The sequence below is a fragment of the Homo sapiens genome, chromosome 12, assembly GCF_000001405.40.
Source record: "Homo sapiens chromosome 12, GRCh38.p14 Primary Assembly".
NCBI classification, from domain to species: domain Eukaryota; kingdom Metazoa; phylum Chordata; class Mammalia; order Primates; family Hominidae; genus Homo; species Homo sapiens.
This window is the reverse complement of record NC_000012.12, coordinates 103010028-103035291: the sequence shown is the minus strand read 5'-3', so window position 1 is coordinate 103035291 and position 25264 is coordinate 103010028. Positions and strand designations below refer to the sequence as shown.

Genomic DNA, 25264 nt, shown 5'->3' with positions numbered 1-25264 from the left:
AACAATAAAAAATAATGCAAAGAGATATAAGTTTAAAGCCAATGAATGAATTAAAATGGGATTCCAAAAACTACAATTAATTCAAAGAAGTCAGGATAGAAGGAACAGATATGAAAAACAGAGGAACAAAACAGAAAAAAAAACCAGTAAGATGGCAAACTAAATCTAACTATATCAATAATAATTTAAATATTAATCAGCTAAACACTTCAATTAAAAGGCAAAAACAGTAAAAATAAATTTTAAAAGACTCAACTACTGAATTTTAGATATAAAAATGTAAATATGTTTAAAATAAAAAGATGGAAATAAGTACACTATGCTAACAATAAGCATCAGAAGACAGAAAGGGCTATATCAAACACCCCAACTAGAATCCTTTTACACACTCCAGAACTGGCTTGGAATAGCAATCTTGGTTTTCTGAACAAACATTTCTTTGGTGTATTACTTGAGCTTCTCCAGAGAAAGAATTAATAGGATGGTTTTATGTAGAAAGAAAGCAATTCATTGCCAGGAACTGACTCACATAATTACGGGGGCTGGCAAGTCCAAATCTGCAGTGTGAACCAGCAAGCTAGAAACCCAGGAGAGCCGATGGTGCAGTTCCAGTCCAAAGGCTGGCAGGCAGAGACCCAGGAGAGCCAATGGCATAAGAGAAGTCTGAAGGCAGTCTACTGCAGAATTATCTCTTAATCTTGGAGGCTAGTCTTATTGTTCTATTCAGGGTTTCAGCTAACTGGATGAGACCCACCCATATTATGGAGGACAATCAGCTTCCTCAAAGTTCACTGATTTAAATGGTAATCTCACCCAAAAACACCCTCTGAGTTGACACATGAGATCAACCTTCAAATCTAGTAACCTACATCTTCACTGTTTTGTTCAAGAGTCTGGTTGTTACCTGGCCACAATATTTGCCTTGCTCCTAAGTTTGATGTTGGTGTTAAGGAAAAGAATTCTGGAGCCAGTCACTCCTGAGTTTAAATTCTGATACCTCAGGAGTTTGAGCAAGTTTATTAAGCTCTTTGAGACACATTTGCTTCATCAGTATAATTCCAATCAAAATGTTGTTGAGATATGCAGCTGCTAAAAAGATTAAAATATCTAATACACCTACCACCACAATGTGTGTCACATGAAAGACACTAAACAAGTGTTACGTCTTTTCCCTCCTTATTTCCCATTTTCTATAATTTTAAAATGCCAAGAATATTATCTTTAAATGCTTGTCCTTTATCTTATTCAAGGTTTATTTAGTTGTAAGCTAATAAAAACTTGTTGAAATTAGCTCAACTGAAAAAAAAAGTGTGAGAAGTGAGGAGCATTATAGTGTTATATGAGGCACTCTCATACATTTCTTTAGCAAGAAAATTAGGGCTAGGCACAGAGGCTCACGCCTATAATCCCAGCACTTTGGGAGGCTGAGACGGTTGGATCACCTGAGGTCAGGAGGTCGAGACCAGCCTGATCAATGTGGAGAAACCCCGTCTCTACTAAAAATACAAAATTAGCTGGGCGTGGCGTCGCATGCCTATAATCCTAGCTACTCGGGAGCCTGAGGCAGGAGAATCACTTGAACCCAGGAGGTGGAGGTTGCAGTGAGCCAAGATCACGCCATTGCACTCTAGCCTAGGCAACATGAGTGAAACTCTGTCTCAGAAAAAAAAAAAAAAAAAAGGAAATTAGGTTCAACTGAGACTCATCAGGAAAAAACTGGGAACTGGACTCAGCATTTGTGGATGTCTGCCCACCATTAATTTCTCTGTGGAGTAACTGCCTTTTGCTTCTTCTTCACTCATCACTTCTGCCCCTTCCTCAATTCGGTTTGCTTTTAGTTTTGCCTCTCAATAGGATTGGCCCTATGCTAGATGCCATGATCTTAGCACTTTCAAGAGTGAAAATTTAGTTGGCTGTGGGCCAGCCAATAGATTTTCTAACATTGATTCAAGAATCTGTCCTGGTCCAAGCAGGGACATGACATAGTACAAACATGGTTGCTTAGTTTTACCTGCCTGTGAAGAGAAAAGAGACTTCTATAGTAGGACACACCTTAAAGCGATGTTGACCATTGCCCCATGTCTTAGTTTGGGCTGCCATAATGAAATACCATAGACAGAGTGACTTAACAAACATTTATTTCTCACAGTTCTGGAGGCTGAGAAGTCAAAGTTCCAAGTGCTGGCAGATTCAGTTTTGGGTGAGAGTCCTCTTCCTGGTTTGCATAGAGCCATCTTCTTCTTATGTTTTCACTAGGCCTTTTCTTGGTATCTGCACAAGGTGGTGAGGTGGCTGGGAGAAGAAGGAGACAGAGAGAGAGATCTCCTGTCTCTCCTTCTTTTTATAAGAGCATTAATTCCATCATAAATGCCCCATCCTCATGACCTAATCCAATCCTAGATAGTTCCTTAAGGTCCCATCTCCAAATACCATCACTTGGGGGTTAAAGCTTCTTTGTATGAATTTTGGAGGGAAATGAACATTCAGTCTTTAATATTTCATCTCCCTCACTTTCCACCCTACAAATACTGGTAATTTTCTTTACATTGAAAAGGGATAAGTAGTCTTTACTCCCCTGAAGACGTTTTCTTCTCCTTATACACCTTCTAGAGAAGAAACTATTTTCTCCAGAGAACTGTTTTATTTCCTCAAGCTGAGATAACTTCAGTTTATTGATCTTTTTTTAATAAGACATCTTTAAAAATATGTAAGCTGACATTCTCCCAAGAGACAGAGCCTGTATGTTTACTTTCTTACTTAATGCTTTGCCATATAATTTAATTATGTCATGTTCTCGTTGCTACACGTAATCTCAGGGGGCCTGAGAAATCAGCCTGTGGTGAATGTTTTGCATGCTAAGCATCCACTCCAATGCTGGCTATACAAAATAACCACTCCAAGATGTTTATGGCCACAGTGACAAAATCAAATGGAGATTAGAGAAACTAGCTAGTACATTTTAGCAATTTTAGTAGCCATCCCAGGTATTTAGAACAAGAACAATATTCATTTTTCTGCAAACGTTTGTCTTTTGGGCTAAATTGTTCATGTTGTAGTTTTGTATCTTTCCTTTGCTTGATGAACACACCTATTTTCTCTTAAGCCACAGAGCATATTGGCTTGGCAGCTTAGTGATTTTTCAACTTTGGCCAAACATTTTTACTGGTAAGAAAAATTTCATGGGCAAAATTATTTATTCTAGAGTACTCAAGGCCAAAATTGAATCTGACAGTTTACCGTATGAGACCAAAGGTTAGATGAAAAAGATCCACACACTATGCAAATACATTTTTAGTGTTTTTATATTACCTTCATAAAACTTGACCTCCTCTGCGTTAAGTAATGTGCTTGGGTTTGAGATAGGTTAATTCAATTAGAGCTCCACTTTTTTTTCTGAAGACATCTGAAGAGCTCACTCGGAGTGACCAAACAGTGATGTGTTATTGACACTGCTATGCGGCAGCATAATCAGACTTCTTTATCAATCTTTTCTTGGGCCCTGAGCTAACTTAGAGACTGAGTTATCTCTGGCCCTCAGAACCAGATGGTAAGTTCCTGTGAAGTTGGAGAAAATTGCTTCCAGTCATTATTGGAAAGTTATCTCCACACCTGCCACAGCCTATGTAGCAGGTAGATAAATTTAAAAAAAGAGAGAGAGCGAGAACATGCCACGTTCCTCTCACCAACCCACAGCCCCAGACAAACACTCTATACCGGAATAAAATCCAGCACGAGATGTAGAAGTTATTGCCACCTTTGCTTACAAGTCCCATTTGACCCCAAATCTCTCAAATACTCTCTATATTTTAAATAAGAAAAGTTGGGTTAGCTATCACTTTCCATCCAGGTTCTTAAATAAGTCTTTTCTTCTTGTTGGCATTATGAAATGGTACATTCAAAGACAGAGAAGAATAGGAAAACTCTCATGTGTAGGTTTACCAGAGTATTATTAAAAAGAAGGAATTGCGTTTCATCAAAGGTTGAGATTAACAATGCTGTATAATGTTTCTGAAAGGAATAATGAAAGGTGTGACCAGAGTTTTATTTATTGCACTGATGGGATTTTTTACTTGTGTGTATATGTTAATGTATACACACACAGATGATATGTAAGTAATACATAGATTCTGTATATTCTAACTGCCTCTTGGGGATATTAAGAGAATGAGTCCTTCATTTTCTCAACTAATAACAGCATTTGATTGAAGGCATACAAAAATGGAGAAGATATGGCCTTGTTTCTAAAGGAATTTATTTTGAAAAAATGATTAAGTCATATATTGATGTGGATAGTACCTTATATTATTTAAGGAAGTTGACATTGTGTTAATATGTTTCCATAATTTGTAGGCCATTTTTCAACAAGAAATGCTAAACACAGGCATTTTTTTTTTTCAGAATTATTGAGGAGGTGGTTTGTAGCAAAGATGTATGTTGAGCTGGCATTTTTCATAGCTCTAGCTATAGCATTTTGTCATTTTTAACAAGAATGCCCTTCATCATTTTACTTTGGCTATATTAAATTAATAAGAAAAAGGTACTAGAAGCATGAGAGAACCTGGGCTTTCAAGCCAGTGAGACTTGCAGTTGACTCTAGTTTCACCCATGAATCGTTGGGTGGCTTTGGGAAAATCACATAAACTCTTTGACCTTTATTGTCCTTGTCTGTTGAATAGGGATAACAATCTCTAATTCTGAAGGTTTTTCATAAGACTTACATAAGATAACTTGTTTAAAGATCACTGAGGGAGATAAGTGGTTCTACTGATTTCAAAAATATAGTGGTCATATTTGCTCCATATAAAACCTGGTCAATTTCACATGACAAATTAATCGAAGACCTCAGACCAATTGACACTTTTCCAAGACTAAATTTAAAGAATCACCTTTATGGAATTAAAAAAAAATAAAGCCACATATGAATGCCCCAGGAGAATTTTGCCACATTGAATAAATAAGTTTAAAAAGTTGTCTATATGACATCCTTCTCAGTCTGTTAGGGAAAAACAAAATGTTAAATCTAACAAGGGGATGAGGACTCCAGGCTGCTACTTTTTTTTTCCTAAGAAGTATAGCTCTTAATCAGAGTGCATTCTCCATTCAAAATAATCTGTGAAGATTGGCATGAAAATGCAGATTCCTAATTGAACAAAGACAATTATTTCCAGATTGAAGTACACTGGTGAATAGCTCTGTGCTCCAATTATCGTTAGACTTTTATTTCAAATAGAAGGCTGAAATCACAGACGTGTTAGCCTTAATTGGAAGAAATGGCTGAAATTGTACTTTTAATACTGTACTGTACCATCATATATGTAGGTCATCTTTTTTCACATATACATGATGGTGCCCTGTTTACACGTCCATTTGGGACAGCAAGCTGAAATGGCAGGAGGAATAGCCTTTCTCAAAAGAGGTAAAAGCACTCAAGAGTTAAACAGAGCCATAAAACTGTAGAGCTTTTAAATAAAGGAACTGAAAAGCACATTACTTACGATAGCTATGTGTGTTAAATCAGAGCCTAACATGAAATCCTAAGTTGAGATAATGTCAGTTCAGGAAATATTTTCCTTCATTTTGACTAGTCAGTCTTTCATAATACATCCACTTAAAAGCTATTTCAGGAGGTAGCTCAAACATGAATATATTAGCCTAAAAGATCAGGGCAGAGTTAACAGATTAAGAAAAAATGATTAAAAGAAATGCTTAAGGAATTCAAAGTATACAGAAAATCTGTTCTTCGCAAACAAACTGGCAATAAAAGAGAGCCTGCAGTAGGGTTGAGTTGAAGAAACTGGCTTGTGAGGGATGAGGGCGTAGAAACAGTATTAGTCATGACTCGTCCTGAGGTTCTTTTACTCCAGCTGGGGACATCAGACTCAGACACGTGAAGCCATGTCACCAACCCAGGAATCATTTGCATTTGTGTAGTAGTTTCTAGTGGATCTCACCCACTGAGTTTCATTTAATCCTCATCCCTGCAAGTTAGGCATAGAGGATACAATCATCTCTTTTTTACAAATGGAGAGACTGAGGTCCAGATACTTGCTTCAGGTTACAGAGTGAATGAGTGCAGAGCAGCTAGGATTAGGCAAAGCCTTTGGTTAATAATAACAAACCCAAAGCTATAAAATGTCACCGGAGGAATTGTCAATGACTTCAATATCTTAGTGTGGGGAATTCAACATGTCACTGCTTGTCAAGCCATGGAAACCACAACAAAAACATCTGTGCTGTCTGTCTTCTTATATTCATTAGTTTTCACAATTAGCAAGTGACATGTTTGGCTGTGTCCCCACCCAAATCTCATCTTAAATTGTAGCTCCCATAATTTCCACATGTTGTGGGAAGGACCCAATGGGAGATAATCGAATCATGGGGGAATTTTCCCCCATACTGTTCTCCTGGTAGTGAATAAGTCTCAAGAGATTATTCTTTATAAATTACCTAGTCTCAGGTATTTTTGTTATAGCAGCAAAAACAGAAAAAGACACAAGGCATAAGGTGTTTGGGAAAATTATTTAACCTTTCCAAGACTCAGTTTTCCCATGTGAAAGATGGCACATTACTCAGTGGGGTGTAATAAAGATTAAAGAGATATATTTAGAATAATTTTTGTCACATAGTAAGAGCCCCTGTATAGCTGTATTTATTATTATTGTTACTACTTAATTTTTTTTTTTTTTTTTTTTTGCTGTTGACTAGAGAGAACAATTGGGCATGCTAGTCGAGGTCCCAAGAACCTCAGCAGAGAGAAAAACAGAACTACTAAGCTTAAGGCTGATGAGAGAGGCCAAGTGTGTCAGGTTTTGTCCTTTGAGAAGCAGATACCAAAATGGAATTCAAAGTGCAAGAGATTTACTGGGGGGAAGCACCTATGAAGGATAAAGCTAAATGGGTTGGAAGACCTTCTGATCACAATGCAAGTGTGATGTCTGTGAAGGGAGGGAGAGAGGGGATAAAACAAAACAAGGTTGAAACAGCCTCAGTCTGCAGTGCAGCTCTGAGTAAGGCTCAGTCCAGAGCAAAGATTGCCTGTTTGAGGAGCCACACATTAGGTAGAGAGGCCCAGCTCCAGAGCCTTCATTGGCCACAGCCTCAGTGAGAACACTACTGCAGTGGATCTCGGAGGTGCAGCAGCTGGAGGCTGTCAGCTAACTACACTCCTCACAGCAGGTTCTGTTTTGCAGGGAGATCAAACCATCAATAAGTATCTGATGGCTTTATAAGGGGAAATCCCTTTTGCTTGACTCTCATTTTCTCTCTTGTCTGCTACCATGTAAGATGCGTCTTTGCCTTCTGCCAGTAGTGTGAGGCCTCCCGAGCCACTGGAACTGTAAGTCCATTAAACCTCTTTTTCTTTATAAATTACCCAGTCTTGGGTATGACTTTATCAGCTGTGTGAGAACGGACTAATACAGCAAGGTATTTATTGTCATCTCTATTTTACAGATATGGAAAACAGGGCTTACAAATGATAAATGACTTTTCCAAAGTCATACAACTAGTAAGTGCTGGAGTTAGACCCCAAACCCAGACTCACTGACTCCAAATGCTGCGCTTTTTTTCTCTTCCTTCACCAGGGGATGCCCTGGGTTTTACCTCCATGCTTCCTGCTGCTATTTACAGAATGTATTCATTCACCCAACAAAATTCACAGCTGTGGACAAAAACCCAAATCCCTACCCCTATGGAGCCTACATTCTAGCAGGAGACACAGATGATACACAAAATTAAGTAAAAAGATACTGTATGTTTGATGGTGGTAAGTGCTCTAGAGAAAAATAAAGCTAAAAAGAATTTGATAGGACCAGGGAAGTTGCAACTTTAAATCAGGTGGATTGTTGAGGCTTCACTGAAGGTGGCATTTGAGCAAAGACCTGAAGGAGATGAGGGAATAAATTCTGCTATCATCCGCATATCAGGCAGAGGGAGTGGTAAGTAACCCTGAGCCGGAAGCTTTTCTTGCTTGTTCAAGGAATAACACAGCAGCTAATGGGTCTGGGGCTGGGTAGGCAAAGAGTGAGGTAATAAGAGAAGAGGGCCATGGGCAATGGGAGGTCACACAAAACCAGGCTATTACAAGGATTTTTCTGAGTGAAATGGAAGTTTGTGAAGGGTTTTGAGTAAAGTATATTATCATCTGACATATCAAAACGACAGCTCTGGATGTCATGCTGAAAATAGACTGAACAATGGGTCCAGCACAGAAGCAGAGACAATCATTTAGGAGGCAGATAATAAAAATAACTAATAAAATAAAAATAGGCCAAAGATTATATTGGCTTAGGCTAGGGAGGTAGTGAGAAATGGTCAGAAGGAGGAGAAATCAGGCTGGCTCTGCTCCTGTTTCAGCCTGTTTGCCTTGCAGGTTGCCAAGTACCTTGGAGATGTCAAGTAGGAAAAAGCCCTCCAAGGAAAATGATCCTAGGATTGGCATGCAGCCATGGGAGCGTGGTGCTCAGATCTCCCTGCAAAACAGAACCTGCAGCGAGGAGTGTAGTTAGCTGACAGCCTCCAGCTGCTGCACCTCCGAGATCCACTGCAGTAGTGTTCTCACTGAGGCTGTGGCCAATGAAGGCTCTGGAGCTGGGCCTCTCTACCTAATGTGTGGCTCCTCAAACAGGCAATCTTTGCTCTGGGCTGAGCCTTACTCAGAGCTGCACTGCAGACTGAGGCTGTTTCAACCTTGTTTTGTTTTATCCCCTCTCTCCCTCCCTTCACAGACATCACACTTGCATTGTGATCAGAAGGTCTTCCAACCCATTTAGCTTTATCCTTCATAGGTGCTTCCCCCAAGTAAATCTCTTGCACTTTGAATTCCATTTTGGTATCTGCTTCTCAAAGGACAAAACCTGACACACTTGGCCTCTCTCATCAGCCTTAAGCTTAGTAGTTCTGTTTTTCTCTCTGCTGAGGTTCTTGGGACCTCGACTAGCATGCCCAATTGTTCTCTCTAGTCAACAGCAAAAAAAAAAAAAAAAAAAAAAAAAAAAAAATTAAGTAGTAACAATAATAATAAATACAGCTATACAGGGGCTCTTACTATGTGACAAAAATTATTCTAAATATATCTCTTTAATCTTTATTACACCCCACTGAGTAATGTGCCATCTTTCACATGGGTAAACTGAGTCTTGGAAAGGTTAAATAATTTTCCCAAACACCTTATGCCTTGTGTCTTTTTCTGTTTTTGCTGCTATAACAAAAATACCTGAGACTGGGTAATTTATAAAGAATGGAAATTTATTCCTCAAAGTTATGGAGATTGACACTCCGAGATCAAGGCATCTGTAGATTTGATGGCCTGGTAAGGGCTGCTCTCTACTTTCAAGATGGTGCCTTGTTACAGCTTCATCCTCCAGATGGGAGAAACACTGTGTCCTTACATGGTGGAAGGCAGAAGGGAAAGCTAGTCGAATGCTGCCGCATGAAGCCTTTTTATATATATATAAAGGTCTTAATCCCATTCTCAAAGGAGGAGCTCCCACAGCCTAATCACCTCTTCAAGGTTCTACTTCATCATACTTCACATTGGCAACATCTGAATTTTGGAGGGGACACATTCAAACCACAGCAGCTGGTAAGTGAAGGAACTGTCATTGAACTTGGGCTATGTAGATATAAAAGCTATACTCTTGCTACTACACTAATCTCAGGCGAAGGTCCTCCCACTGCCTGGTCCATTAGCTTTCTGCTGCTTGGCTATTTGATACTAGTTTCCAAATATCACCATAAGATTTTGACCAGACTTCTCTTGGTGCTGAGCAAGAAGCTAGGGTGCCTCCCCTGTGATTAGACTTCCCACAACTTCCCAGGCCTTGCAATTACACTTCTCCAGAACAGAATTGTTTTCATTTCTTGGCAAATATTGATCTTACTACCTGGCTAGTGTCTTTGTTACCACAGTTCCTCACTAGTCTTTTATTAATTTTAAGTGACAATTATTTCACAACTCTCATGAGGTGAGGAAAAGAGCCCTGAATTGGCATCAGAAAACCTGAGTTTTTGTCCCAGCTTCAATACTATGACAGTTTAAGATGTTTTCAGCTGAGAATCACAAAACTCTATCAGAACTAGCTAAGGCAAAGGGAGAAGTATTTGCCATCTAAACTAGGAACCCCAAATGGTGACTTTAATTGCAAACACAACTGTATCCAGGGATTCAAACTACAGCATTAGGACTCTCTCTCCCTGCATGTATCAGCCCTGTCTGCCACTGTCTTGGCTTTATTCTTGGTAGACTCATTTTATTTGACAGTAAAAATGGCTCCCCCCAACTCCTATATTTTTCTTAACACTAGAAATCACATATGTGGATAAACTTGCTTGGCATCCATATAAATCCCTAAGTGAGGATGTTGTTGGCCCTGTTTGGGACAGGTGCTTGACGATGAACTCATTACTGGGTCCAGGATGATGATATATTTAGAAGGGCCAGCCTGGGTCAGCAGTGCATTTCTGCAGCAGGCAATGAGGGACCAAATGATTAAGCAATGTATCAGTGGGAGACATTTATTCCTGCATTGAAAAGGAAAAAAGATGCTGGGCAAGTAGATGTAACAACTATCCACAACAGCCCCTTAAATCTTCCAAAAATAAAGCACATTCATGCCCCTTCCCAAGGCAGCCAACCCAAAGCCTCATCTATTTACCCCATCTAGCTCAAAGTTCCAGTCTTCTGGTTAGATGTGCAACCTTCTTCATCAAGACCAGATGTGGCTGCTGGTAAACAAGTTAAAGCAAAAGCAAGTTATCTGAACTTATGTAAGCCCCCCCACCAACACACACACAAAACACTCAGTACAGGTTGAGCATCCATAATCCAAAAATCTAAAATCCAAAATGCTCCAAAATCAACTTTTTGTGCACCTACATGATGCCATAAGTAGGCAATTCCACATCTAATTTTATGCGATGGGTCATAGTCAAAATGCAGTCAAAACTTTGTTTCATGCACAAAATTATTTAAAATATTGTATAAAATAAACTTTAGGCTATGCATATAAGGTATATATAAAAAATAAATTAGTTTTGTATTTAGGGTTGGTTCTATTCCTCAAGATATCTCATTATGTATATGCTAATTTCCCCAAATCCAAAAGAATTCAAAACCTGAAACACTTCTGGTCCCAAGCATTTTAAATAAGGCATATTCAACCTCTATATAATGTGAAATAAGGCAGGCTACTAGCAATAAAAAGCCTCCATTCAAGACAGAAAAGAATGGTAAACTAACTGCCTGTAGTTCTTAGCAATGATGAAACCCTTGACCTACTAGTACAGGAGGCTCCTTGATTTGACCCTAAATCTATGTTCTAGGATCTACTTGCTTTGGGTCAGTTCTGCAAGCCAGTAACCAAAATCAAAATTCTTTCCTAAACATGGTCTTAAATTCTGCTTTATTATTTATTTTGTCCCTCTGTACCTCTCTTTCCCTCTCAACTTAGTATTGGCTAACTGGAGGCCATCTCAAGCAGTAGGCATGTCTAGGAAGACAGCAAACTTAATCTGAATTCCACCACAATTCTTGTTAATTGAAAAATCTCTGGGGGCCTTTGTTATTCAACATCTTCTCACTGATATTTCCTGCGCTTTGGGATCCAGAAGTAAATAACTCTTCATCCCTATGTGCTCCATATTTCTGGACTGTCTCTGTTCCCTTTCTTTTCTTTGCAATGCTTGCCTGAGGAGCATCTCTTTCTTGGAGCTCTTGTAATATATCCAGAATCAACCAACACACACTAACATCGAGCACTTCCAAATTTTTGCCCAGAGCAATAGACTCCAAAGGTACTTCTGCCTTCTAATTGCTGCAGGCAACCATTTCAGCAAGCATTTTTCTTCAGCATCTGGGATATCTGATCTGGCCGCTCTGTTTCCTCGCCATCTGAAAACCAAATGCTAAGCCATTGCCATATATTTTAGATTTTTATTATAACAGCACACCACTTCAAGTATTAGTAGGGTAAGCTATGCTGCTGTAATATATATATATATATATATATATATATATATATATATATATATATATAAAATATATAAAATATATGTTCACTGTGTAACTATGAGTAGATTATAGAAATATATATAACCATTATATATTATATATATCATATATATTATATATTATATATATCATATATATTATATATATTATATATTTTATATATATTATATATTATATATATTATATATTATATATATTATATATATTATATATTATATATATTATATATATTATATATTATATATATTATATATTATATATATTATATATATTATATATTATATATTATATATATTATATATATAATGTTCAAACACTGTGGAGGTTTATTTCTCATTTACATGTCCCTCATTCTTGGGTGGCACTTCTCCACATGGTGAATCAGGAACCCAAGTTCGTCAGGTTCCTTTTGTCTTGTGGATCTACCATCTCGTGCTTTTGTCTTCATTCAGTCAATAGGATGGTAAAAAGAGAGCATGGGAGGTCCTCCTCACTTCTTAAAAGCTTCAGTTCAGAAATGACATACATTACTCCCAGTCATCCCATCGAGTAGAATTCAGTCACTAGGAGTGTGGGAGAGAGTGAGAAATGTAGTCTAGCTGCAAGGCCAGGAAGAAAAGGAAACAAATTCTTAGTAAAGAGCAGGGTGTCTCGTTGTGTAGAGCAAAGAAAAAAAATGTGTCTAAAGGGAAGGAGTGGTAAATTCTGCCAGCTGAAGCTTAGGAAACAAATGGTTGATGGCTGATACGCAGCTAAGTGATGTGAGTAGTTGATGTTAGAGAACATTTTCATGGAGGTAACAAGACAGAATCTGGATTTCTGGGGGTTGAGGAATGGATGGGAAGGGAAGAAATGAAAGCAGCAAATGTAGTTAACACTTTCAAGACTTTTGTCTGTGAAAAGCAGGAAAATGCTGAGAAATGGAATAGATGGAGGATTTTAATTTTTTTTAATTAAAAAGACTAAAATATGTGTAAATATTGATGGGAAAGATACCAACACAGACACACACACACAAACACACACACACACACAGAGTTGGGGGGGGGAGAGATTTGCAAAAAGAGGAAATAACAGATGGTATAAAGACCCTGAATGAAGGTATGTATTAGTCTGTTCTCAAGCTGCTAATAACATACCCAAGACTGGGTAATATATGAAGGAAAGAAGTTTAATCCACTCATAGTTGCACAGGGCTGGGGAGGCCTCAGGAAACCTATGATCATCATGGAAGCGGAAACAAACGCTTTCTTTTTTACATAGTGGCAGCAGGAAGAAGTGCAGAGTGAAGGAGGATGGGAAAGCCCCATATAAAACCATCAGATCTCATGAGAACTCACTATCACAGCAACAGCATGAGGGTAACAGTCCCCATGATTCAGTTACCCTCCCATGACATGTGGGGATTATGGGAACTACAATTCAAGATGAAATTTGGGTGGGGACACAGCCAAACCATATCAAGGTAGCAACAGCCTTACAGAGTAAGAGTTATCTTACTCTCTCACTTTCTTTCTCTCACTCTGTAACTCTCTCTCACTCTCCCACTCTGCCTCTTTCACTCACTCTCACTCTTATTCTCACCTTTGTGTCTTTTAAATGCATTTTCCTTGCCATGATGGCAGAAAATGAATGGCATTTGCTCTTGTCAGATGAGAAAAGAAAAATACTTCCCATTTTCCAAGTAACAAATGTATGTTACCGGCTCCTCCTCCTCCTAAAATATGCAACAAAGAGAAAAATAAAGTTAGTACTTCTAAAAGATGCCATGCCATATTAGGAGAATCCCCTTAATTGAGCAATTGCTCTCTTGCAAGTTACAAGCTACCCATTATCTCAAGTAAGATATTATTTACCCTAATTTTTACAGATAAGGAATCTTAGACTCAAATGCATTAAATATAGAATCTGTCATCAATTCAGGCAGGACACAGAACCCTCTCAATTTATTTTATGCAGAAAGCGGTTTTATATAGGAATCTGGTTACTTAGTACATCATTGGGAGAGTTGAAGAAGAGAACTTTAGTCTTGACATCCAGCATTGATTCTCAGAAAACTGGTGCCAACATCATGGCTATTCTTTTCATATACTCTGGAACTGTTGATTCAAGAACATACTATGATGGTCATAATGGACAAAACAAAATGCCACTGCTGATGCCACCCCCAGTGCCTCTCAACATCCAGAAGCAAAACTAGACATTGAAGTGTTGCTTCAGAAAAAGAAAGTCCCCAAGACCTTGCTTGTCAACAACAAAGGCTAAAAATAGGACAATAGCTCTGCCTCTCTTTCACATTTCAAATCTCATACGAGCATATCTAACTGGGGGAAACTGTGTGCATTTTAAAAAGTAGCTTCAAGGGAATCTGAGAAATATATTGGTTATATTTGCAACCTTTACAGAGTCATGAATCATACAGCATAGAGTTTAAATGGATACTAAAAACCAATTCACTGCCTGCACCATAGATGGTAATCAATAACCTAGGAATTTTTAAAAATCTGTTTAGTGTTGTCATTCCTGGATATGACTACGGAAGAATTTCCCAATATAGAGTTCCACAATATTTTTTCTTCTGGAAGTTAATAGTTATGCTATAATGGTACATTTGGAATGTGCTGGTTTAAACCAAGTTAAAGTATTTCTTTATGCAGGACTTCTTGGAAGCTTTGATACAGGTGTAGGTTCTCTATTGCCACAAAAATGCTAAATAACAAGCCCAATAACTTGATGGCTTAAAGCAACAACCATTTATTATTGCCCATAAGTCTACAGGTTGCCTTTATGGTGTGCAGATCTTGGCTTGCTTACATGTCTTGGAATTGTCTGGCAGTTGACTGCTCTAGCATAGCCTTGGCCAGGATGACAGGGCAACTTGATTCTGCTGCATATGTTTCATCTTCCAGCAGGCTAGCTGGAAGAGAACAGCAGAGAAGCAAGAAGAGGAGTGGAAAAGCACAAGAGCATCAAAAGAGCATCAAGCTGGATAACCTCTATAGTCCAAGGCAAGACACATAGCCAAACAAAAAATGGGTCAAGGGGCAGGAAATATATTCCACCTTTTGATAGAAGGAACTCCCAGCATTACATTGCAAAGGACCTGGGTGTAGGGACAGCTGAATAATTACAACATCACTATAATCAATTTACCACAATATGCTAATATCCATTATAGTTATTCAAGAGAGGAATAACATAAGAAACATTTTCCAAATTTTTTAACTAGGGAATACTCCTTTTAATGGAGATCTTTTAGGAATGTCAATTTGGAAATTACTAAACTATTACAAAGTCAACTTATACACATTTATTTATATATTATATCCCTTTTCCTAAACACATATCTACATTTTAAGAGAAACAAACAAACAAAAAAACCCGTTTCTCATAAAATGTGTGTTAATTGTATTCTTTGGGTTTGGAGGGTACAGTGCTGGGGAACTACTCCATCTCCATCTACTACCAATAGAAGCCTTTCTTTTTTTTTTTTTTTTTTTTTTTTGAGACAGAGTCTCCCTCTGTCGCCCAGGCTGGAGTGCAGTAGCTTGATCTCTGCTCACTGTAAGCTCCACCTCCTGGGTTCACACTATTCTCCTGCCTCAGCCTCCCCAGTAGCTGAGACCACAGGTGCCCGCCACCACACCTGGCTAATTTTTTGTATTTTTTTTAGTAGAGATGGGGTTTCACCATGTTAGTCAGGATGGTCTCGAACTCCTGACCTCATGATCTGCCCGCCTCGGCCTCCCAAAGTGCTGAGATTACAGGTGTGAGCCACCGTGCCCAGCCCCTACCAATAGAAGCCTTTCTAGGTGAAAAGTATTTCCTATAACAAATGATTAAATTAAAAGGGCAGAGGTAATCTTGACCAAGAAAATAAAGTACACCTAGTGTAGAGGCATATTATGGGTTAAATTGTGTACCTCAACAAAAGAAATATATTGGAGTCCTAACCTCCAACAAGGTCAGAATGTGACATTATTTGATGATAGGCTGCTATAGTTAGGATATTTATGCCCTCCAAACCTAATGTTGAAATTTGATCCCCAATGTTGAAAGTAGGTCCTAATGGGAGGTATTCAGGTCATGGGGGCAGATCCCTCATGTATAGATTAATGCCCTTCCTGGAGATGGGGGTGAATGGGTTCTCACTTTTATCAGTTCTCTTGACAGTTGGTTTTTAAAAAGGGCCTGGCACCTCCCTCCTCTCTCTCTTGCTCTCTCTCTTGCCATGTGATCTCTGCACACACTGGCTTCCATTCTCTTCCTGCCATGAATGGGCAAAACTTGAGGCCCTATCAGAAGCAGATGCTGGCACCATGCTTTCTTGTATAGTGTGCAGAACCATAAGCCAAATAAATATTTCTTTATAAATTACCCAGCTATGGGTATTCCTTTATAGCAACAAAAACAAACTGAGACAAAAAATTGGTACCAAGAAGTGGGGTGTTGCTATAGATACCTAAAAATGTGTAAGCAGCTTTGGAACTGGGTAATAGGCAGTGGTTAGAAGAGTTTAGGGAGCTCAGAAGAAGATAAAAAGATAAAAGAAGGTTGGGAACTTGTTAGAAACTAGTTAAGTGGTTGTAACCAAAATGCTGATAGAAATAGGGACAGTAAAGGCCCAGATGATGAGGTCTCAGATGGAAATGAGGAAGTTATTGGGAGCTGGAATAAAGATCACTCTTGTTACACTGCCACAGCAAAGAACTTGGCTACATTGTATTCATGCCCTAGGGTTTGCGGAAGGCTGAATTTAAGAGTGGTGGCCTAGGGCATCTTGTGAAAGAAATTTCTAATCAAGAAAGTCTTCAAGATGCGGTGTGGCTACTTTTAACAGCTTATGATCAAATACAGCAGCAAAGAAATGATCTGAAAGTGGAATTTATGATTAAAAAGGAAGCAGAGTTTAAAAATCTGGAAAAATCTTCAGCTTGGCCATGTGGTAGAGAAGGAAAGAGCATTTTCAGGAGAGAAATCCAAGGGTGCTGTGGTGCAACCACTAGCTAGAGAGATTAGAGGTTCTAATCGTCAAGATTAAGGAGAAAAAAAGCTCCAAATGCATTTCAGCAGGCCACCCTCCCATCAGAGGCCAGAGGCTTAAGAGGACAGAATGATTTCAGGGGACAGGCCTGGGGTGCCACTGTGAATCCTCCTCTCACAGCCCTCAGGAGGAGCCAACGCTGCTGACACCTTGATTTTGGACTTGTAGCCTCTAGAACTGTAAGACAATATATTTCTGTTGTTTAAGCCACTCAATTTGTGGTATTCTGTTATGGCACTAGTAACAAATTGATGCACTAGTAACAAACATCTATTGTTTCTACTTGCCTGTCATTCATTTCACCTATGGTTCCTTTGAAGAAACTCTCTTCCCCTCCTCTCAGTTCATGTGATTCTTCTGGATCTCATCCAATTTGTAGCTTCTGGAGTTAGCACATGACTCAGGCTTAGCCAATCAGTGTGTCTAATCCCCTAAACACAGTGGAAACAGCAGAAGTTTTGCTGAAACTTTTCTTTGGAGTTGCTATGCTGATAGAATGTAGGCCTGGAGCTAGTGGTGCCCACCTTGTTAGCATAAAGAGAAAACCTCCCTGAGAATTAAGCCATTGTAAAGAAAGTTAAGCTGAGATATAGGGAGTAAAAAAAATTCTAATAATATGTAATATGAGCACTCAGGTACAACGGTTCCTGAGGCTGTATAGTCTTGTACTTTTTCATATATGATCAACAAATTCTCTCTTACTGTTCACATTGGTTTGATTTAGGTTTTTTTCACTAGCAACTGAAAGAGTTTTGGTTAAATGATATAGCTACTTATACCAGTCCACATCCGACTGCCTCTTGACTTTCTCTGTCCATATTTTTTTCCTTCTTAACCCCATTCTAAATTATTGACCCTGGAGGTCCTCCCCTCATTGGAAAGGAGAGGAGAAACTCTAGAACACCTCTTCACCTTGGTTTATATGAAACTTGAAAAAAAAAGGTAAATGTAATCTGATATTTTACAGATTTATTTCTTCTCTATATCTCCATTTTATTGCACATTCAAACTCAATTAGAGTAAGTTTTGCTTTAAAGTGTCAAGGACATTTTGAAGAAACAATTTGAGGACAATCTAGATCTTAGCTAATCTTATCACTCATTACTGAGTACATTAAGTGCATAATTAAAATTGAGATGAAATACCAACAATGAATGAAAATGAGGAAAAATAACTAGAGACTTAGCATTCCCAAACACGTCTTTTTCTTTTAGACTGAAAATATAAATTTGAAAATAAAGATTGAGCTGGGTGCGGTGGTTCATGCCTATAATCCCAGCAGTGTGGGAAGCAGAGGTGAGTGGATCGCCTGAGCCCAGGAATTCAATATCAGCCTGGGAAAAATGATGAAACCCTATCTATACAAAAAATACAAAAATTATCCACGTGTGGTGGCACATGCCTGTAGTCTCAGCTACTGGAGAGGCTGAGGTGGGAGGATTGTTTGAGCCTAGGAGGTCAAGGCTGCAGTGAGCTGTGAGCATGCCACTGTACTCCAGCCTGGATGGCAGAACAAAACTCTGTCTTGAAAAAAGAAAAGAAAGAAAATTTTAAAAATTGTATAATGAGAATGTATATGAAATTTCAAATCTATCCATGATATGATATACAATGGGCAGGGTGTGTAAGTGACTAAAATGTTCTGAGCTGTCTGTGGTCCTGAAAAGCCCATTATTAAAAAACATGGATACTTTTTATTATTTACTGTTATTGTAAGTAATAATGAGACATTTTTCCTAAATGAGACATTTAGGAAATGAGAATTTTTCCTTATTGTTATTGTAAGTAATAATGAGATATTTTTCCTAAAGAAAACTATTCTTAAAGAATGCTGAATAAAACAGAAATTCAATTTCATCTTCCTTGACTTTCATTCCTCCTGAGCAGATAAATTAGTGGAGTAGATTACTTTCCTTATTCTGGCAATCATGTGTAGCTACAAAGTAATAATAAATACAGACAGTAAAAGAAAACCACTAAAGAGAAACTAGAATTTCCCATCTTCTTTTGGCCTTAATTTATAGCTGTTTTATAAAGAGAAACATCCAACTATCTTCTCAAAGTTTAAATATCATCACATAATATTCATTGCTAAATTTTTCTTTCTAATATTTATAAATATGAGCCTTTGCCTTTCCACAATGATGTCATTTCTTTTTATTATAAATATTTTGACAAAGAAATGTAGTTCTATATTCTTGATGCTTTCTCTACTTGAAGCTCTTTTTCAATTTGTCTTGTTTTTGTTTGTTTGGGCTTTTTTTCTGTTAAAGTGAGATGGGAGGAAATATTTCTACAATGTGGGTGTCCATCTTGTTCACTGAGCTTTCTATAACATAGCTTCCCATAGAGTCAAAAATGTACCTGTGAAGAAATATTTTCCACTCAGTTAATAGATTAGGAGAATTGGCATTCATTGCACATAACATTGTACAATAAGTAGGTTATGGGATCCAAACTAACAACTGTCTAACTTTAAGTCTAGCATTAGCCTTCCTCAAGCAGTTTTCTTGGTAACTTACCAATATAACAGGTTCTTTCTTACTTTGCACTTTATGGTTATTCTCTACCATTTCAAGAAGGTGTTCTTTTCTCCCCAGCCAGGCAATAAGCTCCTAAAGACCTCAACTCATGTTTCATCTTCTTTGATAGAGAGAAGTGTGTGACCTTGGGATCAGAGTACAGGCTTTGCAGTTGGCCAGGCAAGGTTTTAGTTCTTGGATGGCTAAACTGTTCTGAGCCTCAGTGTCCTCATTTATAAAATGGAATTAACATTAACTATATGATGAAATTGTGTGCAGAGTTTAGCAAGGTATCTGATTCATGATGATGTTCAATAAATGTTAGCCTTTATATGTGTAAGATAGGTAGATACACAGATAGGTAAATAGATGATAGATGGATAGATTGATAGATAGATAGGTAGATAGATAGATGCTATAATGGATACTTAGCACATGGCTTAAATTCTTAACAAACAAAAAGAAGATGTGTTTTGTTGGGCATTGTGGAAGGTATTATGTGATGACTTAAATACTCAAGTGATATTAAATGCTTTATTGCATGCCAGGCATTCTGCTAAGTTTTGAAGACATTAAAAGCAAGTATAATACTAGTTTTCAGAGGAGACTCAATATTTTTGTTGAACTTGACTTTAATGTTGGTTTGCGTGTACACACTTCTCTTTGCCTCATTCTACATGTTCTCTCAGCAGTTTATCTCGTTCCTGTGCTTCAACAATTATTTCCAGATGAATTTGTAAATTCATTTAAGTTATTTTCCTTCAAGGCACAGCTGCCTCCTCTTGATGTCTCCTTCACCTTACCCCGGCAGAGCATTTCTCTGGTGCTTCCATCATGCATTGTACCCATGCCCATCCAGCTGTCACCAGGCCTGCTTATTCCTTCCCTGCAAGGTTGGAAGCTTTGTGAGGGCAGGAACAAGTGCTTTTATCTTTGAATTCACAGTACCTAGGACAATGCCTGGAACACACAGTGACCTCCAACAAATGTGCAATCATTGAAAGAATATGTAGTAGAACTCCAATAGTTTGTCTCTTTAGTATCCCATTCTCCCTTCTTAAAGAAACAGCAGTTAGATTTTTCCTTGAAAGAACTTACTAATACCCTCCTCCCTAGCCCCATGCAGGGCCAACATGATCCGGTTTAAATCTTGAACAGAAGGACACAAAAATCAAAGAAGGGTAGGGTTTATTAATTTTAATGATGGTGCCCAAATGTACCTCGTTGATAATAAATAGTGAATTTTTGTTGAAGAAACAAAGAAGAGGGAGGAAGAGGGAGAAGGGAGGGAGGAAGGAAAGGAGGGGAAAAGGATCAGTTTAGGATAGTCCTCTGGTCGGGTCTGCAGAGGACAGCTAGAAAGAATCAGACAGGCTGAGCCACAGACAGAGAGCTGTAAACTCTGCGCTCTGGATGCCTCATGTCTCCTCGACTAAACAGCTCTTTATCTGAATGGCTGCTTCCTTGCCTGGACTATTTTGGTACATCTATTATTGGCTTCCATTTAGTGTCTGTTTATTTAAATCTGCTTTCAACTGGAACATAATTCTCTTGATTATCGGTTGATGCTGCGACACAGTAGGAATACAGATAATTGTCACCGTGCACATTCTGCTGGAAATGTAAAATTATTATCTTTAGAGCCTTTGAGTAGGGTATTTCAGCATGAATGTTATGCAGCTCAGGCACGTGGAATTTGTAGAGCGCTAATTTGTTGGCTCCCTGGCCTTCCTTCACTGACTGTCATGTGAGCCTCCCCCAGGAACGCAGGCAGACACCCAGCTCCCTGGAGCATCCTGCCATTTGCCTACTTGTGAGGAGTGTGCAGTCTACACTCACACAGAACGTCAGGGCTTCTTTCATGGTTATCAGAGACTGAAGGGACTGGGGAGACTGCTCAGACTCTGGGTGCTGGTCACTGTCCCAGGCACCCATGACTTTCGGGGGGCTGCCTTACCAGGGGACAGAAACTGAGTGGGTGGGGCATCTGCACAGCCCAAGGAGAGAGCAGCCTGAAGGCATGTGGTTAGAGTGGGGACTGAGGCCACAGTTCCCCAGTTTCCATCCATCCATTCTTCACTGGCCTCCCCTTCCCCTCACCCGCTTCCCGCCCCACTTCATTCTCCTCACCTGCCCCTCAACCCCCACCACCTGCTGCACCCCTGCACACCTACCTCCAGACTCAGCTCCCCACCCCAAACTAGGTGCCTCTTCATTTACAAGCAGCATCACTAATTGCTTTTTAGGGTCCCTTTTCTGCTCTCTGTTCAAAATTCACGGGGCGTTCCCCAGTTCCTTTTATGCTACTTTTCTGAACCTTTTCAGACTCTTTTACAAACTTAGCACTTTCTGTGCCTCTTTTAGTCTTTGCGAGAAGAAAGAGACTTGAGAGGTTTTTTTTTTTTTTTTTGGCAGTAAAGCTCCTTCTCCGGTACCCCCTCCCCCGCCCTCTCCCTATCCCCTGTCTCCACCCCCACTGCCCCCAAAGCACACGCATTGGCCCTCCTCCCACTGAATGGGGCTTTGTGCAGGGAATTTCCGGAACATAGCCCAGTGCCCAGGCCTCTGTGTGAGAAGAGGAGGGGCCCAGCCGGGCAAGGAGACCCTTAAGCCCACCCCATTACCACGGTCACTGTTTGCCCTGGATTCTCTAAAAGGCCTATTGTTGCTGGTTGCCAGGTATTCCTTAGCAACACTTAAGCCAAGCTGCCTACCCTATTTAGGCCCAAAACTTTTCAATGGCCTCCAAAACCCGTGCTTGTCAGCACTGTAGACCGTTCCTCAAACAGCCTCAGAGGGGAGGGAGAAACCAAACCATCCCCCAGCCGTCTCTGCCTTTCAAATATCTGTGTTTGAGGCTGCTTGGGGGCTTCTTGTCATTTGCCTAGGATCAGCAGGCCAAACAATTGCAATTAAAATTTCTCTCTCCCCAACCCTGCATCTCTCTTCTCTCCCCAGCCCCCCACCCTCATTGCAGACCCCTCGCTAACTTAATATTCAGCTGGGGCTGGGTTTCATCACATTTTGCAAGGGCCTCCTGACTTTTCTTCTGACCATTTCAAAGGAAATTGCTTTATTATTTTAGGACAGCTTTGGTGGACTTGCATGCAAGGGTTTAGCCTCCTCCCCGGCTCTGGCAGGGAGGAAAATAATCAAATCACAGAAGGAATCCTAATGATGGTCCCCAGATGAGGGTCTGGAGGCCCAGATCCGGGAATGGTCTGGATCAGGTTAGCTATTTACTAACAGATGGGGTTCTGGAGCCTGAGGCACCTGACCCCTAATCCTGTGCTTTTTCTCACTACAGAAAGCTAAAGTAATATGAGAAGCAGATTGTCAAAGTGAAAAAAAATCCTATGCACCTCAAAAATTAAAAGTGGAAGAAGAACAGGTTCTGGTTTTACAGGAATATAGCATCCCAGCCCTGAACGCTCTCCACTCCTTTCTTTCCCCAGCCCTAGTGACAGGATTCTGGGAGGCAGGATCTGAGGTCTTTTTGCTACCTTACTTTCCTCACTGTAGATACTCAAAGCACCTCTCCCAGGTCCTGAATTAGATAAGGTTAGACTTAGCATTCCAGACTGTGAGAATCATTCAGCTGCTCCATCCTCATCACCCCATCCTTGCCATTTGACAGAAACAGAATGACTTGCAGGATGTCACACTGCATTTAAAATAAAATCAAGCTCCCCATCAGTGCCTGCAGGTCCAGGATAATCTGGCCCTAGCTGATCTCCAGCCTGTCTCTCCCAGTCTCAGTTCATTCCAGCCACATCTACCTTTTTTTGTTCCTCAGATAAAACAAACTCACTCCAGCCTCAGGACCTCTGCCTTGCTCTCCTCCCTGCCTGGAAAGCCCTGCCCCCAGATCTTTTTGGGACTCTATCCTTCTCACTATTTGAGACTCAGGTCATAGACCGCTGTCTTAGGAAACCATCTCTGTTATCACTCTATAAGCTCAACTGTATCTGTTGTCCTCTTGAAATTTCTGTATATCATGTATTATTATTAATTATTAAAATTGATTATTTACTCTAGACAGCAGTTATAATTATATTTGTTGCTATCATCATTGTTACATTATTATTAGGCATTCGAAGCTTATTTATTGCCTGTCCCATCCCCAAATATAAACTCTACAAGAATAGGAGCTTTGCTATAGTGTATCTATCTAATACAGTGCCTGGAACATACAAGACATTCAATAAATATTTGATAAATAAGTAAATACATGGCTGTGCTCATTGGTGGCAAATATGAAAATTATAACTCAAGTCTTCTATCCTCCAATATATGTTTTTTTCTTGGGGAGTGTACACATGAATCTTTTTTCTTGGGGAGTATGTCTTTTTCTTGGGGAGTGTAAAGAAACAGCGCTGGTGTGTTTTTAAACACTTCCTTACTACCCAGTATTTCCCAACCCTTTCAAATATATAGTATTACTATTATTACTGCTCTTCTAAGAAGCCTTTTTAGCTATTTTTTTCCTAATCGGCTTCCATGAAATTACCAGGGATATACTATCTATTTTTATACTGTCCTTTGAAGGGCTACAAATCATTATAATATCGAAGATTTTCCTCCACCCCAAGAACCAATTTTTGCCTCCATGGGAGTGATATCACCTCCCTTGAGAATGCATGTCACAACCAGGATAGTCATTTGTAGAAAAACATACAGATTTCTGATGGTGCCACAATACCAGGGAATTAATTCTGTCCCATATGAAAATGGAGGAGACTTGTCTCAGAGCTTCAGTGTGGAAGAACTCTGACCATAAAAATTGACAAGAGTGGGCAAAAAGGACAGTGGATGTGTTAACTTTGGGCTTCAAGCCCAGCCCTCATATTACATACTTCACAAAGGTTTTTTTAAGATCTTTAGAAAAAGCCTTTCAGCTTAGGTAAATGTGGTGTTAAACCACTAATCGCTAACCCCTTGCCTCTTCTTACTTAGCTCTTAATCAGATTATACAAAAGCTTTCAGATGTTCTTGCTGTCTAAAGCCAGTGTGTGAGGATGAGGCAGGGTTTCTAACATGCTGATTTGGAAGTGTGAATTTTAAAATTTCACTGCTGTATGTGTCCACAAAATAAAGTCTTTATTTAAAAAATTAGCCCTACCTCCTGAAAATACCAGTAGATTAGAGACTGACATATCTATAGACAGTATGTTCATTCCTGCCCTCATTAATTCAAAAAGTGTTTATTGGGTCTCACCTATGTGCCAGGCACTGTGCTAGAAGCCATATCTGTCTTTTTCATAGAATTTGTGCATGAATACCAGGTACTAGGGAATGGAATCTACTGTTTCCAGGTCACACGATTAAAAGCATAATTATAATTTGGCCTCTCTGATATAAACTGCCTATGCATAGAATTATTGAAAATGCTACAGAAGTTCCATCATCTCCTTAGTAGAAAAGATAGATGTCTATTCTTACTGTAATGAACATCTATTTTGTTACTGTCCAGAGCCCTTCCTCTCCTTCCTGTGGTTGTACCAATTCCTCCTTCTTCGAGTAACTAAGCTCCCCCATTCCGTGTGGTTCTGGAATTACTGCAATTCAGAGTATCCCATTCCTCACCTAGATGAATGACAGAAAACTCCTTGCTAAGTGGTTTCCTCAGAAATGGACCATGTGGCCCCAAAGTGATAAGAAGAGTCTTTCTCTGGGTCCTTCTACCTG

General features: G+C 39.3%; 3 annotated features.

Moving 5' to 3' along the window:
* Positions 20274-23960: an enhancer, noted in NCBI's record as "VISTA enhancer hs1540". NCBI's record gives its function as "enhancer in: midbrain (mesencephalon)[4/4] | forebrain[4/4]" and the evidence as "EXISTENCE:transgenic organism evidence [ECO:0001131][PMID:17130149]".
* Positions 20780-23185: an enhancer, noted in NCBI's record as "VISTA enhancer hs1354". NCBI's record gives its function as "enhancer in: hindbrain (rhombencephalon)[15/16] | midbrain (mesencephalon)[15/16] | forebrain[15/16] | nose[11/16]" and the evidence as "EXISTENCE:transgenic organism evidence [ECO:0001131][PMID:17130149]".
* Positions 20916-22946: an enhancer, noted in NCBI's record as "VISTA enhancer hs998". NCBI's record gives its function as "enhancer in: hindbrain (rhombencephalon)[7/8] | midbrain (mesencephalon)[8/8] | forebrain[7/8] | nose[4/8]" and the evidence as "EXISTENCE:transgenic organism evidence [ECO:0001131][PMID:17130149]".